Source organism: Homo sapiens, chromosome 11 (genome assembly GCF_000001405.40).
Source record: "Homo sapiens chromosome 11, GRCh38.p14 Primary Assembly".
In the NCBI taxonomy this organism is placed as follows: Eukaryota; Metazoa; Chordata; class Mammalia; order Primates; family Hominidae; genus Homo; species Homo sapiens.
The window spans coordinates 11,631,909-11,650,358 of NC_000011.10; the positions used below are offsets into that span (position 1 = coordinate 11,631,909).

An 18,450-nucleotide genomic window follows, 5' to 3' on the forward strand; every position below is an offset into this window, starting at 1 on the left:
TTACACAGCAACAAAAAATATACTTAAAACTCAAGTTAGAAAAAGTTGTGCAAGAGACATCATGGCTTCAGCAGTTATCCTTCCAATGGTCATAGTTCCCAACTGGAATGGTATAACTGGGTAACAAGCCTCTCAGACCTTCTCAGTTGTCTTCTATTGAAGATTTTCATCTTAATTGGCTTCCCAGGTGGAATTCTAATGTCTGGGGTAAATCAGTGGAGACTGACATTCCAGGATTGTTGGAGGAGGCAATAAATACATCTAAATCTGTACAGAATTGACACCCCAGAAGCCTCCCCACTCTTCAGACAGTATTTTGTTTTCCTACTTCAGCTTCCTAGATCTTAACCAAATAACACAAAAACTTTACTTTTTAGTCTGTTTACTATACTTACAAAAGCAACAAAATAAGGCCCCTGAAATAGAAGAAGTTGCACGGGCGTCTTCCATTGGCCCAATTCCTGATCACACTTGTAACCATCCCAATCAGATAACTGAGGAAACCAGATGCAGCCTGGGGCTGGGGCCCGACGCCCCCAGCTGTGAAGGATCGAGGATGTCTCTGAGGGGGGCTGGTTCGTGCCTGCATGTCTGATTGCATGGGTGCCGAGGGTGTCAGGCTGGGAGTCCAGCACGCTCCAGCCTATGAGAGCCCCTGCAGATTTTTTGACTGGAAATTGACATTCATTTATTTATTCATTTAGCAGGGAGGAGCTGGGGGAGCTGGCAGCTGAAGTCTGCGGTGGCAGGCCAAGGTTGGGTGGTTCCCACAGCCCGAAATCCTGCCCTGGGCTGGCTGCAGGTAGGTACAGTTAGACCCCTACCTGCACACGAGAGCAACGGTTCCTCCACAGGAAATAAGTGAACCAATAAATGTGTCAACCCCTTGAATACTTTATTCATAAGACAGTCCCTCAGCCCCTTGCCCAAAGCCTTTTTTTCCCTCATTTACATCCAATTCTAATAATACAGGTGCTTGTTTTCCCAATTTATAACAGACTAACAATTTAGAAAAGAATTTGGGAATGCAGTGAGTGTTCAAGGCGGAAAGACACTGGCAATTACAGTTTGATTTCAAGGAAAGACACACACAAAAAACAACAGCAAGGGAGGACACCAGGGAAGGGGACTGCGCCAACCCTCGGATGGTCAGATCCAGAGTCCCGCACAGAAAGATTTACTCTTGCAGTTCCCAACATTTTTGGGACTGGTTTGGGGGCGGGATAGAGAGAAGATGGTTTGGGGATGAAACTGTTCCACCTCAGATCATCAGGCATTAGATTCTCATAAGGAGTGCACAACCTAGATCCCTGGCAGACGCAGTTCACAATAGACTTCGCACTCCTACGAGAATCTAACGCTGCAGCTGATCTGACAGGAGGCAGAGCTCAGGCGGTCATGCTCACTCATGGCAGCTCACCTCCTGCCCTGCAGCCCGGTTCCTAAAAGGTACTAGGTTTGGGGACCCTGGTTTACTCCCTCTGCTTCTCTTTGGAAGCCCTCTAGCAGCAGGGACCTTTCTAAATCCCTAAAAGCCTGCAGTGGCCTACAGAATTTTCCAGCCCAGCTTCCGAAGGAGGCCCAGAGCTGCCATGGTTGCTGTGGTGGTTTTGCCTCAGCTCATGTTCCGGGCTCACTGATGAGGGGCTGGAGATTTTGACCAAGCTCCATTCCCCCCACTTCAGCAACCCCTCATGCAGGGGGAGACAGCTGGCCTTGGAGACTGAAAGGGAAACGCACGGTTCCAGGCCTCACGGCCATCTTGGGTTCATTCCCACTCACACCCTGAAGGGCCACTGGAAATGTGGAGTCGCTCTTTTTCGTTCCTGTCTTTTTAAACAGAGGTTATTGAACATCACATTTTGTCATTGTTGACTCATTTTTTTGTTGTTGTCTCAAATTAATCACTGAAGATATCAAATATTAGCCTGAAATGGGAGGATGACATTGGATAGGGTCATTTGCCTTTCCACTGAATAGTCCCACCCTGCTGTGCAGTTGGTTTGTTTTAATATTTTAAATGTTTTTCATGTCTGTCTTTCCTTAAAATCAAACTGTCACTTTTCATAATTGCCAGTGTCTTTCCCCCTTCAACACTCACTGCATTCCCAAATTCTTTTCTAAATTGTGACTCTTAATCTGCTATAAATTGGGAAAACAAGCACCTGAATTATTAGAATTGGATGTAAATGAGGGAAAAAAGGCTTTGAGCGAGGGGCTGAGGAACCCTCTTATAAATACTCAAGAGGTTGACGCGTTTATTGGTTTACTTATTTCCTGCTTCTCAACTTCCTCACTGTTCCAGCAGCTTGCACTTCTGGCCCCACCAATCAATTCTCCACAAAGCAGCCAGAGCAATCTTTTAAAAATGCAAAATCGACTCTGTCACACATACTCTCTTCATCCTTCCCCTCTTAGAACCCTTCAGTGGCTTCTCATTGCCATTGGGATGAAGTCTAGCCTCCTTGACAGACCTCCAAAGACCTGCCAGATCTCGCCTCTACCATCTTCCTCCCACTTCTGGGACCTTGTACAAGCCACTCTTACCCCACCACATCGCCCCAGCTCATCGGGTTTCATCTTAATTCCTTTCTCAGTAACATTTCCCTGGCCCCCTGAACAGTCAGTCATGTGTCCAACACTGGTCCACAGCCTCATATACTTTCCCATCCAAACATTTAGCCCAAATTATAACTGCATAATTGCAGGATAGAGTTCTAACTCTACCATTTACTAGTTGAATTCCCTTGGGAAAATTACTTACCCTCTTTAAGCCTCAGTTTCTTCATCTGTAAAATGGAGATAATTATTTCACCTACTTCCTAACCTTGTGGCAAAGAATAAGATGCAAGTCAAACACTCAGGAAAACAAATGTGGTGGCTATTTTTTGGTTATCTGTCTCCCTCACTAGAATATAAGTTCTTTGAGGCCAGAGACCTGTGTGCAGCGCCAGCACAGAATCTGGAACATAGCTATTCAATTATATGTTGAATACTTGCTGAATGAATGTCAATTTCCTGTCAAAAGATCTGCAGGAGCTCTCATTTCAGCTTCAACAAATTCCCATTCTTCTGCACAGTGTTCTTCAACCTGCACCCACCACCAGCCTTCTCAACTTCTCTCCTGCTACCCCTTAATAGCACATCTAATGAAATTCTCTCCACCTCATCTCCCTTCATCAAATCCTGGGTCCTCCCTTCTCCAAGAAGCTTTCCTGGGCCCACTGGTCAGGCCTTCTTGACACTCCTACTTAACAGCTCTCACTTCGTTCTTAACTTTCCCCAGTTCCTTTCTGGCTTCACCTGTCCTCCAGCTCAGATGGTGCAGCTCCAAGGCAAGCTCTGCTCTGCTTCTCCTTTTGTACCCCCTCCCCACCCCCAACCTCCTCATCAGACTCAGCCCACACCCAGCCAGGGTCCCTCTGCCTCCTGCTCTTTCCGAAGAGCCACTGCTTTTGATAATGTTCTCTCCAGAATTACATCCTCACAGTGTTTACCTCTGAGTTCTGAAGCTTCACCATGCCTCACTTAAGGTATTGACATTTCAATTCATGATAAATTATTCAGCAGCTCATTTTCAGCCAAATTCCTCTTTTCTTCAGGCCCCGTTCTCCTCCAGCCACCATCTCAGGGCAGCCTTTAAGTCTAATGATGTGTTTACAATTCACGCTCTGCCAGATATTAAAGCAACGCAATGCACTTGGGGATGATAAAGCATTACTTGGAATTGTCAGCAGAGGGACAGGCCCAAGAAGAGTTCCAGTCTGTTTTTATACAGAACAAAGATCACTGTCTCCACTACAAAGGATCCATGTGCAGATGGTGGCAGAGTGATTCCGGTTCAAAGGCAGGGCTTTTGCTGGAACTTTCCAAGCTTCGCTAAAGAGCAGCCTGACAGCTGATCAGCCAGCCCTGGTTCCAGTCAGCCCTAGACAGAATGAAAGGTGTGAGGATTTTCAGCCTCCATGATGGCATCAGGTTGTCTGTTGAAGAAAAAAAAAGAAAAAAAATGGAACCAGAAATATTTTGTGATTGGGGCATCTGAGAAAGTGAGCAAACAAGAAGCAGCAGAGAATGCTTACCCTTTGCATTGACACTTTTAGATGGTACCACCTCATCCTCCTCACGAGTCCCTGTCCCTGCCCTTTATGGCTAATGATCTTGCAGCCCCGCACAAGCTGCTCTCCCTTCTTCGTGTTCCTGCTTACAGTACTTCAGCTCCTCTCCTCCTCTACATTAACCCTGCACTTCCCAGGCCCCCAGTGGAGAACCCATTTCTACCACAGCCTCCTAAACTGCCTGTGTCAGATCAGAGGCCCTCCTGACATGACCGTCAATTCAGGGCCATCAGACACATTAAGGTGTGATTTACATAGTCAGTAATGGGGGTAAGAAGAGTTAGGGGATTCCACTATTGAGAGTCATAGGAAGGGAAGGAGAGTCCTCTTTGTCTTAGATGTTACTGACATCTATAACTTCACTTTCTTCAAGTATTTTTGATCAATTAAGCTCTGCTTTAAGGTTTATTCTGACTACCCTCAAGGGATTGATCCTGAGCAGACCAGAGTGGAGGGGGTGTACATACACAATAGGGCAAGTGACAGGACTTCCTTGGATCTCATCAAAACTGAGATGGTGCTCCTGGAGGCACCACAGAAGGAATTACAAACAGTCAAAACAATAACAAAACAAGGAAGGCAGCAGTGCAGTGGCCAGAAAAAACAAAAATTAAGCGAGTCAGCATGATGGCCACTTTTGCTCTGCCACCAAATCCTGTCTTTCTGTCTTTGTTCATCTCTCTTTCACTGAACACAGAAATAATACAAAGCCCGATGGACAGGACACTGTCCCAGAGACATTTGCTATCTCCTTCCTACCCACACTCTCCTCTTAGAGAAACTGTCAGCCCTGGCAGGGGCAGCGCTATGCATTTTGCCACCTGCTTCTCCCACCACCCTGAGTCTCGAGCCTGGCAAAGCTGATTGGACAGGAAATGGAAGCCTCTCAGCCAGAAGCTAGCCCAGGAATTTGTGACTGAGACACAAATGACTAAATCTGTTAGCAATGGGGAGGAAAGGAAGACAGTGGTACAGAGCAGGGAGGTAAGACCACCATTTTAGGGCAGCCATGGTGGACTATATACAAGTAGATGGGTAAACAGAGACGCCAAGAAACCAGTTGAAGAGAGAAGAAAAAAGGAGAAATGCTGAGGGAAGGCAGAAACAGAAAGCCATGTGAAAGAAAGAAAGAGAGACACACAGAGAGACAGAGAGTTCTCTACAGTCCTACAGTTGCATTTCATGAGATTCCCCTACCACAGTTAAGTTCCAGTGAATGGGCATCCTTGCCATCAGAAGATCCCTGACTTACATAGACTTTGAATCCCTACTTCCATGTTACTCACAAGCTCACTAAAGACATAATTCACCTTGCAATGCGAGCTCACTAACTAATGAGCAGCTACTAAGTGCCAGAGTGGTGGCAAGCTATGGATCAGAACACACCAGTTCTAAACACGCTTGGTGCTGCTGTCCTTGCAATAGTGAGTTCTCATGAGATCCATTTGTTTAAAAGCATGTGGCACTTCTCCCCCACTCTCTCTCTTGCTCCCACTCTTGCCATGTGATGTGCCTGCTCCCACTTTGCCTTCTGCCATGAGTAAAAACTCCCTGAGGACTCTCCAGAAGCTGAGCAGGCATCAGCACCACATTTGTACAGCCTGCTGAACTGTGAGTCAATTAAACCTCTTTTCTTTATAAATTAACCATTCTCAGGTATTTTCTTATAGCAACGCAAGAACTGCCTAACACAAAAGCCCTGTAACTAGAAAGTAGCAGAACCTGGGTGGGAACCTGGTGAGGCTGACTGCAAAGCCACATTCCTTCCAGTGCCTGTACTGCCCCTCCAGGGACATATAGAGATGTGTGTGTGTGTGTGTGTGTGTGTGTGTGTGTGTGTGTGTGTGTATGTGTTCACAATGAATGACAAAGAATGGAGCATGAGTGCAGAAACGTTACATATGGTGCTATATATGGGATAGACCTGCCCAATAAATTGTCTTGCTCTGAATGCCCATTGATAAACTCTAGAAGAAGAGAAACTTAGGAGTCAGTCTAGAAATTATTTTCTTTCATCATGACCCACCCCTCAACACACACATACTAATAGTCTCAAAGTCCTGTGGCTTTTTAGTCCTCCCTAGCACTACGTCCAGGTCTGACCATTTCTTCTTTTCACCATGTGCTATTTGTCTTCGGCTTCCTGGCACCTAACACTGTGCTTGGAGCAGAGTGGGTGATTGCTAATGTTTGTTGAAACCAATGGAACTGCTTAATCCTGTGGGATAAATGCTCCCTGTACAATGCCCTTGCCTTGAATGAAAACAGTTGATGCCCTCCTTACTTGTGATCTCAACATGAACATTTCCCCCAGGTCCCTGCAAAGTTGGTGATTGCTGCTTGGTTTCTTCACTCCATTAGGAGCACCACGCTTCATCATCAGTTGCTGTTCTCTTCAGAAACTCTTTATGTTGCCCAGCATCCTTTGGGTAATCAGAACAAATATAATGTCTTTACTGCATCTATTTGTCACTTGGAATGCATGGGGAGCCTTCACGGAAAATTTCCTCAGGTTCACATTTCCCTTCAGAACCAGTCTATTCTTCATCTACATTTAACTCTTGAGTCACCACTCTCTCTCTCTCTCTCTCTCTCTCTGTCTCTCTCTCTCTCTCTCTCTCCCTCTCTCTCACACACACACACACACACACACACACACCACATTCAGAGCAAAAATGGGAGGAGCCTTGGACTGAGAGCAAAGAAAACCTACATTCTGGCCTAGGTTTTGATATTATCTTACCTTAAGTAAGTAAATTGACCTCAGTTTTCTTCATTTATGAAATAAGGGAGCTAATTTAGTAGTTTCCAAATCAGTTTTCATGGAGCCTAAGAGTTCCTTGCAGGTACCTAGGGATAACACTGGGCATGAGTGAAAGCTCACACACACACACACACACACACACACACACACACACACACACAATGCTAGTCAACAGTGGTGTTCACTAAATATTTTCAGTAGGAAATAGCTTCTGGGCATATGGTAGGATTGCGCTTCTTGGCCTCTTTGTGGTTATGTAGGGCCATGTGACTGATGTTGACCAGGGCAACCTGGGTAGAAGTACTCTGTGTCACTTTTTTTAAACTGGAGCATTTAATTGCCAATGCAACATTTGTCAGAGTTGTACTTTTCTTTCATCATGGTAACCATCAGTGATCAAAATGGGAGCTGCTCCATCAGCTTGGGACCCGAAGCAGGGAACTGTAGAGTTGACCGAGTCCGTCCATGATAGACATACAGCATGAACTGGAAAAGTCTTTGTTGTTATAACAGCTGATAAAATGTTTGGATTGTTTGTTACTGCACATAACCTAGCCTATCCTAATTAACATGTTCTCTCTGTCTCTCTCTCATTCTCCCCAACCACAGCAACTCTGTATTTGTTTTACATGTTAGCTTTCTGCATAAGATTTTGTTTGATAGAAGAGTCCAAGAGCTTAAAAGAATTTGAAACTCTCCATCAATGTGATTTTTGAGGCCCCTTCCAGTCAGAAATCTATGGTTCTATACAGATCCTTCCAGCACTCCAGCTATCTTCCCTATCATCTTTACGTATTTTGACTTTATTTCCTCTCCATAAGCTTCTGTTAATTTGATAATTATCTCTCACAGAGATTTACCTTCACGTACAATTTTATGTCAATTTTTGGATCTCAAAATGATGACCCACTTTTTCTTCACCACATGTACTTTCACTTATCACAACCATCAGAACAGACTTACCTGCCAAAGTTGACGGCTCCACTCTGACAAGGTGGAGACTTTTTGTGAGCTGTCCCCATACTGTCTTTGTTTCCCTGAGATGCAAATGAAAATATGTGCCTTTACTTTAGAATTATAGCTAGTCTGAGTGTTTTAGTCAACTAGTATCCCCCACTGGGCCTACTCAGAAGTCTATGTAAGAAAGATTTCTAATAAACTTACTGATTTTTTAATATAGTGAATACACATAATATCAATGTTTCTTTAATAGTCTGGTGGCTTCTGAAATCTCCCTTTTTCAAGAACCACCTAGACCAGAGGGGTTGCTATGGATAGCTTAAATAAGATACCAACTGAAACCTGGGAGATAAATTAAATCAATAGTTATCAAATTTTCTGGTATCTAATAATCAATCTAATAATCTCCCCCTACAGCCCCCACCAAGTTTCTAATTCATTTGATCTGAGGTGATGGCCTGGAATCTATATTTTTAATAAGGGACTCTGATGGAGATGGTCACAGAACCACAATTTGAGAAATGTTTAGGCTTGATCTTTCAGCTGTTCTTAACCATAGGAGTCTGTGGTTAATTTCAAATTCCAGTGTATACAAGAGATTCAAAACATTCAGCTAAAAGTACCGCAGGAAAACCACTGGTCATTTCTAAATATTTCTTCCTTGGTAGTGGAACCAAGGCATGGGAATGAAGGAGCTGAGATTTCACCCAGTAAGTAAGGGATCTACTGGAGATGAGGGGGAGGTCTCTTATCTAATGGTACCAGTGATGCCAAATCAGAGCCCAGAGCTGGTAAGTTGCTATGGTGGGAGAACCAAGATGAGGAAGACAGCCAAAGCAGGTTCTGAAAGTGAAGCATAAAGACAGGAAGACGAGGAGGTGAACATAAGAGTGGCAGATGCAGGCAGTTTCTGGAGGAGAGCACTCAGTGAGTCCTAGAGACAGGCACAATGGCTTAGATGTAGAAAACTAAGGCAAGCCAATAGGAACAAGCCCACTCAAGTAATTCACTCCCTGGGGTAAAGAAAAGGAGTTTCTGGGGACCAGATCTCATGAAAATTGGCCTGGGTTTTAACCCAAAGTGACCAGGAGTGGGAGGAGCTGAAAGATAAGTATAATCCATCACTCAGGGAAGAACCAAGAGTTAAGCCAAATAAATCTGGTGGATAAGTTAAAGTATTAACTTGATGGAGCTAGGAATAGGAGACAAGCTTTTAGAAGCTAAAAATTTGGGGAGCTGGTAGAAACCAGATTGGGGTAGAGAGTACAACACCAGAGCGGGAGTGAAGAGAGAGGTCAAAGGCAATTGCCCTATTGCTGCTATGAGGCTGGCCTCTCGTTTTGGTCCCACGTGGTGTGGAGTGGGTTGGCCTGGTTTGAAGACAAATAAGCCAGGCAGTGACCTGTCCCCACTGGATCACAAAAAGCATGGGGCCCTTGTACCCAAGGCCTCTTTTCACAGCCAGAACTTGGCTGAGGTCTATTCATCCAGCTTGGCAATGCAACAGGCTGAGCTATCAGCTGCCAAGCTCAGTATTGAGGAGTCGGAGTAGATGGTCGGGATTACTTGGGGCATGCAATTTGCCAGGCTCATGTTTGGCAAACAAACACAGCCTAATAGAGAGACAAAAGGTTTGAGAACAAAGAAGGTCTGCATTCTCTCCTTCCTCATCTTCTTTTTCCTTCCCTTATAGGATGCCTTTGCTGAAACAATGGGCCATGGCCCAGTAATTCCACTGAGGCTGTGTTCATTGTTTCTCATCACAAATTTGGGCACATCCTTCCCCAATTAAAAATTCTTTGTGCTAAAGGAGAAAATAATTTAGGGCTCATTACAGTTTTGTTTCCAAAGCAGTTAATAGAATATGGTAGATAATGGAGGGAGAAGGCAGAACTGGGCTGGAAAACTGGAAAATTGACTCCAGTCCCAGTTCTGACATTCCCAGTTCAGCCATGTGATTTTAGGCAAATCACTTCATCTCTTTAGGCTTTTGTTTCCTTGTTTGTGAAAGGAAGGCTATTGAGTCATAGTTTCTAAATGTCCTTCCAACTCAGACATTCTCTGACGTCCATGATTTGAAAAGCCTGGATTGCACTTCCTTCCTACCTAACAGGAAAGCTTAGAAAGATGGAGCTGCCTCACCTTGCACAAATAGGTGCTTAATTGTTGGATGAATGAATGGAAGGATCAGAGAATAAGTGACACCCAATGACACACATTCTGGGACATCTTCATGAAAGGGTTGCCAAACCAAGATGAGAAAGACACCAAACAGGTAATGAACATGAAGCATAAAGTAAGTCAGGGAAATGGGGAGGTGGACACATGAGTGGTAGAAGTAGATCCACCTTTGACCTCCACAAGTGGGAGCTCCATTGATGCTAAGTCATAGAATCATAATTACAGAGGTTCAGAACTCAAATGAACCTGAAGACCACTGTCATGTCAAGCCAACCCATTTAACAGGTGGAGAAATAAGACTAGGAAAAGTGACTTGCCTGTGGTCCCAGAGCTAGCTCACAAAAGAGAGCTAGGAGCCAGCTCTTCTGCTTCTCTCCCCTGTGCTTTACCTCTGCACTGTGCTGCCTCACATTTTATGAAAGAGCAGCAAAAAAATGGAGCTGAAGCTTTAGGTAAGGGCCCAGAGTTGATAACCCAATGTGACTTTAATGGCAATACTGGAGAAAAAGACCTCCCAGAATGTTTCAAGAAAATACCTCTTATCCCAACCTATGTTCCTTCCTCCCATCCCTCAATTACAACTGAATAGGGACATAGAGCAGCAGGTTCTGCAAAATGCATACCCCATAAGAGAAGATGACCAGAAGTAAAGACAGAAAGAACTAATTTTAGTGGTATTCTGGGAATAATTCAAACAGATTTTGTTTTATTGAGAACAGTCATGAGCAGTGGCAAAAGTTAGAGCCTCCTTCTCTCTCCAGAACTGCGAAAAACCCCCTTACCATCTGGCCAGTGGCTTTGTCAGCTGACTTTCTCATGAGACATCCAACTCCCTAGACTTCAGGTTTTCCTTCTATGAAACAGAGAGGGACAGAGCCAGTAATATTCTAATGAGGTTCATAGATAACCAAACACCAGATTCATCCACTCAAAACTGCCTTTATTACATTCTCCCTGCTTAAAAAAATCTCTTGTGACTCCCTGTGGCCATGTTCATTCTACTCAAGAAACTTTGCTTATTCAGTTTCCTTGCTGTCTAAGTCCATTTTCTGTTGCTGTAACAGAATATCTAAGACTGGGTAATTTGTAAAGAAGAAAATATTATTTCTTACAGTTCTGGAGGCTGAGAAGTCCAAGGTTGAGGAGCTGCCTCTGGTCTGGTGAGTTCTGGTGAGGAACTCGTGCTGCATCATAACATGGCGAAAGGCATCACAGGACAAGAGGGGTGCGCTGAGAGTCAAACCGGCTTTTGTAACAGACCCACTATCGTGATAACTAACCTACTCCTATGATAGCCCATCAATCCATTAGCCCATTAATCCATGCATGAATTGATCCAGTCATGAGAGCAGAGGCCTCATGATCCAGTCACCTCTTAGAGGCCCCACCTGATAATACTGTTACAATGGGGATTAAGTTTCAATGTAAGTCTCAGAAGGAACAAATATTTAAACCATAGCACTTGTCTAATATGAAGAGTTTCTTGATCACTCAGAAGAGGACGTTCCTTCTTGCTTTCTGCATTTGTGGTCTATAATACTCATTTGGCACCACGTACATGATACCTCGAATTATAATCTTATTGTTATTTCCAGATGAGATCACTTACTATCTGTGGTAGACAGAATAATGAGCCCTTGAAGATGTCTACATTATAATCCCTAGAACCTGAAAACATATTATGTTACATGGTGAGGGGGAATTACAGTAGCAGAGGGAATTAAGGTTGCTAGCCAGCTAACCTTATGATAGGGAGATTATCCTGGGTTATCCAGGAAAGCCCAATATAATCAAAAGAGCCCTTAAATGAAGAAGAGCGGGGGCAGAAGAGCCATAACTAAAAATATAGCATTGTCATAAGGACTCAACCAGGTATTGCTGGGTTTGAAGATGAAAGAGATCACCTTCTTGGAGGTCTCTAGAAGCTGGGAGGGGGAAGAAAACAGATTCTTCCCTACAGCCTCCAGAAAGAAGACAGCCCTGCGAACATGTTGATTTTAGCCTAATGAGACTCTTCAAACTTCTGACCTCTAGAGCTACAAGATAATAAATTTGAGTTGTTCTAAGCTACTATATTTATGGCAATTTCTTACAGCAACAATAGGAAATTCATATGCTGCCTGTTATATCCTACACTTTTATGCTAAACTGTTCGATGTCATAGACTATAGTCAATATTTTTTTTTTCTAGCTACCAACTAGTACTGGACACAAATTAAGCAACCAGTGGATGTTTTTCTAAGCAAGTGAATAAATGAATGAATGAATGATTTGGAGTTAAAACAACTTGAATATTACTCAGTCAATCAAATAATAGATAGACCCCAAAGTATAAAAATCTCTTGAAAGCAGACTCAGATGTCTGGGTAAAATATGCTATTATTTCATGGGTATTTCTTATGTGGGTGATTTAAAAGTCTCATTATTGTTATTATTTTTCCAAAACCATATGATACTTTGGGAATAAGTTTGGTCTTGAAGTCAGAAGACCTGGAACAAAGACCTTCTGTTGACACATATTAGCTGCATGACCTTGCATAAGTCATGTAATTTACCGGGCCTCAATCACACCATCTGTAAAAGAAAGATGCTGTCCACTATCTTGAGAACCCCCCAGGGTTGTGGTGAGGACAAATGAGACAATGCAGAAAAACAGGGCTGTGAAAACTGTCAAATGCTGTGCAAATGGGTGGAGTTGTCATTTGCCACACTCCTCTTTAGACTAATTTTTTAGATAACAGGGATTTTTATTAGTGCCTCTTCTATGCTCACTTTGTTACATGAGTCCTTGTTGGAGAAATGTAAGAAATAAAAGCTTGGAAGAGTTCATGGTTCAAATGAGAGACTAGGAGGGAATAAGACAATTCATTCAGTTTGTACTCTGGTCTATAAGCCCACCTGCACCTGGTTTGGCCCTAGGCACTGAGGGACCAGGTACTGCTGAGAATGGGCAATGAGCCTCCTGGGACAAATCACAGTTCAGTGAGTTGACACCCAGAATCCAAAGTTAACCAACTAAAGAGAAGGACGTTTCTTCTGGGGGAAGCTTTATCAGGTAGCTGGTTCCATTCCTGATACAGAGTGTTTTAGTTCATTTTCTGTTGCTATAACAGAATACCACAGACCGGATAATTTATGAAGAAAATGAACTTATTTGGCTTACGGTTCTGGAGACTGAGAAGTCCAAGAGCATGGCACTAGCATCTGGTGAGGGCCTTCTTGCTGCATCATAACATGGTGGAGGGCATCACATGGCAAAAGGGTAACAGCAAGAGAGCAAGAGAGAACTCACTTTTATAAGACATCCACCACCAAAACAACAAACCCACTGTTGTGATAGTGACATTAATCCACTCATGAGAGAAAAGCCCTCATTAATCTATTAATCTATTCTCAAGGGCATAGGGATTAAGTTACCAACACATGAACTTTTGGGAAACACATTCAAACTATAGGACGGAGCACTCATGGAGCAACTTCTACCTGCTAGAAAAGCATTGCAAGCTTTTTCTTTATTATCTGGGATCTCCACATACCCATGGCTCAATGGGGCTGGAATATGGAAGAAGCAGAGGACTTGAGCACACCCAGACACAATCCCTGGAAGATATCTGGCCCTCAGAACTAATGCCTTTTATTTCCCAGGGAAAATTTTATTTCTTTGAGAAGTTAAGTCATTTAGGCTGACAACAGGGTCTGCCTCAGGCAAAAAGCTGAGGATGGAGAAGTTGCTCTTGTATAACACCTTACTTCTCAAAGAAAAGTGCTCTAGATGCCCTCCCCATCCCCCATTTGCTTAAAGAGTCAAAAGCATTTATAATCCCATCACTCTACAAATAATCTCATTTAAGAAATAAAAACATATGACACAAAGCTCTTCATCTCCATTCCCATTAGCCTCGAATTCTCCTTACAACTCTTCCCAGCTTCAGAAATGTGGGATAAAGTCTCCTTCTAACTATTTAAATCTAATTTCTTACTTGTGCTTTTGATCCTACACTAATCCATAAATGCAAAAGGAGAAAAATGCTACAGGCACAAAAAAGTGTTCATTATAGCAATATCAATAAAAATTATGTAACCTAGAATTCTGATTACAGATGGCAGTTTGCTAGCATGTGCTTATTGCTTCTTCATTCTGTGTTCCCACTAATATGATAAAAAGAATAATTTAAAACATACACACACACATAGAGAATGAGAAAGGAGACATCGGCATATAACAGATTTCAACAAATTTTTAGAAGATTGAAAGTTGTTGGAGGAACAGTTACTGATTTGGCAAGATGGAAGACACCAGAGGAGGAACATGAAAAAGAACCAGTTTGCTCCATGTAACCCTGGAAAGGCTAAGCATGCAGATAAATCAGAACACTAGAATCAGAAAGTATTTTGTACTCAACCCACTCACCTCTTCTCCAGGCAGGAGATCTGCATTTTCTTCTCTAGCAAAATTAACTAGAAAAACTCAGGGTTTTCAGAGGCAACAAAAGAGGTGACTTCAAGGAAAAGTCCAGTTTCCTTGAAGTGAAGCCATCAGTTGAAAAATACCACCACTTTCCACCTAAACCCACACACATTTTTACACACACACACACACACACACACACACACACACACACACATTTTGGCATCTTAAATATGAACAGACAACTAAGATTAAACAAATAATTGAGAAAAGCCCTAACATGAAAGGTTTTCATGTGAGAAATCAAAACAAACAGGAAATAAAGATCTTTATTTATCAGAGATAATGCAAGACAGAAGGAAATAGTTCCCCCTAATTATTATCCTCAGTTACATATGAAAAAATGCATATGTTAAGCAGCAGGAAACTAAGAAAGAAAAAACTCAGAGACTAAGAAAGAACTTTTGGAAATTGACATGCCTTAGAAACTTGAACTGGATGCCTGAAAAAGCAAGTCAAGAAAATCTGAAGGGAAAGAGAACAAAAAGACAAAAAGAGGACCAATGGGAAGGGAAAACAAACATTTAAATAGAAGGTAAACCCAAGAACTCTATCATACAAATTATAATGACTATAGAAAGAACAGAGAAAGTTGTGGAAATGGGACTAAAAGGAGGGTATTGTTATTTTCTCAAGACAAGTCTTCATATTGAAAGGACACACAGGATATCCAGCACAAAAGTGAAAAAAGAGCCACATTAAAAGTTCATGAATATTAAATGTCAGAAAACAAAGGATCAAGAAAGGATTATAAGATATTCTAAAATGAAAAAATAAAAAGTCACAAAGATGGAATAAGAATTAATATGACTTCAGGCTTTTTCTTAGTAACACTGGATGATAGAAGCCTATGGACCAAGGTCTTCAAAATTCTAATAGAAAACTTTTTTAACTTAAAATTTTACACATCATCAAACTATCCATCAAGTTTAACAGAAGAACTAAAATGTTTGAGGCATTTCAAATTTGAGGAATGACTCAAAAAAATTACCTCCATTTGTTAGGAAGCTATTTGAAGATACACTCCAGCAAAAAGAGAGAGTAAATCAAGAAAGATGAAGGCATGGGAAAGAGGAGGCAACGGATACAACTTAGGAAAGTTGTGTTGGGAGATTCCAGGGTAACAAATGTGTAACTTTCCAGCATCACAGAAGACCCCAGGAGGGCCACCTCTAATAAAAAGAAAGAGATGGGGTCTCCATAGAATCTCTTTAAAAGTAAAGTATTTGGAAAATATTAAGAACACATGAATGGCAAAGTATGCATTTTTTTTTAAATTAAGCAATTATAAATCCCAAGAATAATAAAAAACAGAATGAGAAATAAAATGAAATCATAGTATTTTATTAGGCTCTGAAATAAATAATATTTGCACAGTCATAATGATATACAGCTGATTATTTATCATGTAAAAATGGTGGTACAATTACATTAGGAAGGTGAAGGATGGAAAATTGGAAAGTGGTGTAAAAGAGCTAAATCCTTTTCTAACATAAAAGAAAATCAATAGATAATGTCAAAAACAAATAAATAGAAATTATCAGTAGAGGCATATGACAGTTGACCCTTGAACAACACAGGTTTAAACCATGTGGGTCCATTTATACATGGATTTTTTTCAATAAAACTTACACCAATGTGCCTGCCTCTCCTGCCTCCCCTTCTACCTCCTACATCTCTTCTGCCTCTGCCACCCCTGAGACAGCAAGACCAACCCCTCCTCCTCTTCTTCCTCCTCATCCTACTCAACATGAAGACAACAAACATGAAGACCTGTATGATTATCCACTTCTACTTAATGAATAGGAAATATGTTTCTCTTCCTTATGATTCTCATAACATTTTCTTTTCTCTAGCTTACTTTATTGTAATAATACAGGATACAATACATATAACATTCAAAATATGTGTTAATTGACTGTTTATGTGTCTGGTAAAGTTTCCAATCAACAGTAAGCTATTAGTTAAGTTTGGGGAGAGTCAGAAGCTATACACAGATTTGTGACTCCACAGGGGTTCAGCACCCCTAACCTCCATGTTGTCTGAAGATCAACTGTATTCGAAAATTTGGAATTAGCTACAAAAAAAAGCTAATTAATTAAAAAGGGGTTATTTCTACATAGTGGGGCTGAGGTGGAGAGGCCTGGAGTAAGGGAATGTTTTTTATTTTATCTTAAATCTCTTGGATATATTTAATGTTTCAAATTATACACATATATTATTTACTGGTGAAGTATATTTAATTAAAAATGATTATATAGAAAATTCACTTCCAGATATGATTCAGTCACAGGGATTGAATTTACCACCTAACTTTGAACACTATAACTTTGAACACTATAAAACCAGAAAAAAACATACGAAATAGCAATTTTCAGACATTGGACAAAAGGCAGCACAAGACCATGACCTCTGTGAGAAGAGAAACAAATATGCTGAGCCCCACAATTGCCCTAGCACACTGCCAAAGGCTGCTTCCAGGCTGCATGCAAAAACAAGGATCCCAAACAGAGCCTGGTGGCCTTGATTAGTGGCGAAGACAAAAATCAGAGTTCAGAAAGGCCACTTTGTCTAGAATTTGTCAGAGACAGTATCAGAGAGAAGGAAGTTGCTTAGACACTTTTCCAGAGATCTGCAGTGAAGGTCCCTTCTGTCTTTGGCTGGGTACTAAACTGCACATGCATAAGATGAAACTGCCTGATGCTGGTGAAAGAGCCACCAGAAAGCAGTAGGCTAACAACTCTCAAAGCTCACCCAGGGCTGAGAATAGTTCATGTTGCTACCAGCCGTAGTAGAAAGACCTCAAAATGCAAAAGACATCAGCTAGAGTCTTCAGAAGGCTATCACCTAAATTTACCCTATTCCAAAGGCTGCCCTGAATCTACCTTAACAGAGCTTAACATCAGACCTGGAAAGGATCTACTACCAAGGAATATAACTGCATGACAGAAAAAAGTAAGCCCAACATCATTTTTTAAAAATACAATGAAATCCTATACTCAATGATGTAGAAGTCACAATGTCTGTCATTCAATCAAAAATCACCAGATGTGAAGAGAAGTATGATAATATGGCCCATTACCAGAGAAAAATCAATGCCAATAAACCCAAGAATGACTGAGATGATAGAAATACCAAGCAAGGATATTAAAATGGCTATTCCAAACTGCTTTATATGTTCAGGAAGGTAGAAGAAAACATGACCATGACAGAGAGAGAACTAACAAATATATAAAAGATCCAAATGAAACTTCCAAATATAAAAAATTTAATTTTTAAAAAATATCATTGGGTGAGACTGAGAATAGATTAGACAATGCAGAAGAAAAAGACATAGCAATAGAAACTATCCACACTGAAGCACAGAGAGTAAAAATATTGGAAAAAAATGAGCAGTGTCTCTGTGACCTTTGGAACCATTTCTATCCATTCTATTGTGGTTTAACAATGTGTAATTGGCATTCTGGAAAAGGAAGGGGGATAGAAAAATATTTAAAGAAATAATGGTGAAAAACTTTCCAAATTTTATAACTATAAATTATAAGCATGTGTAAAATGACATCAAGGAGAATAAACTTTAAAAAATTCAACAGGCCACTTTATATCTTTATAATCATATTGCTATAAATGCTGATAAAAAATTCTTACAAATAGAGAAAAAAGACACATTATGTACACAGAAACAAATATATGAATGAAAGGAGATTTCACATCAGAAAGTGTACAAACCAGAAGACAATAAAACTCAAATAAATTTTTATGCCCAGCAAAAGTACATTTCAAAAATGAAAGATGAAATAGATACTTTCTCTGACAAACAACATCTGAAAAAAATGTGTTACCAGCAGAGCTTCACTATAAGAAATTGTAAAAAAAATTCTTCAGGCAGAAGGAACATGATACCAAATAGAAATCTGCGTCTAAATTTGGAATCAAGAGTGCCATTAATGAGAAATATG

At 41.3% G+C, this 18,450-nt stretch overlaps 1 long non-coding RNA gene across 1 annotated transcript, besides 1 other annotated feature; it reads right to left on the minus strand.

Annotated features, from left to right (window-relative positions):
• Positions 1 to 3,425: 3,425 nt before the first annotated feature.
• On the minus strand, positions 3,426 to 13,245 carry LOC105376553 (uncharacterized). Its single transcript, XR_931034.3, has 4 exons — positions 13,187 to 13,245; positions 10,806 to 10,876; positions 7,846 to 7,919; positions 3,426 to 3,983 (listed from the first exon to the last, which is right to left on the minus strand). It is a non-coding gene; the product is annotated as an uncharacterized LOC105376553 (long non-coding RNA).
• Positions 16,603 to 16,772: an enhancer, noted in NCBI's record as "experimental_19059 CRE fragment used in MPRA reporter constructs". NCBI's record gives its function as "activates a minimal promoter by MPRAs in K562 erythroleukemia cells, with activity observed for the non-introgressed 11:11670143 variant allele {active_cell/tissue: K562}" and the evidence as "EXISTENCE:reporter gene assay evidence [ECO:0000049][PMID:34662402]".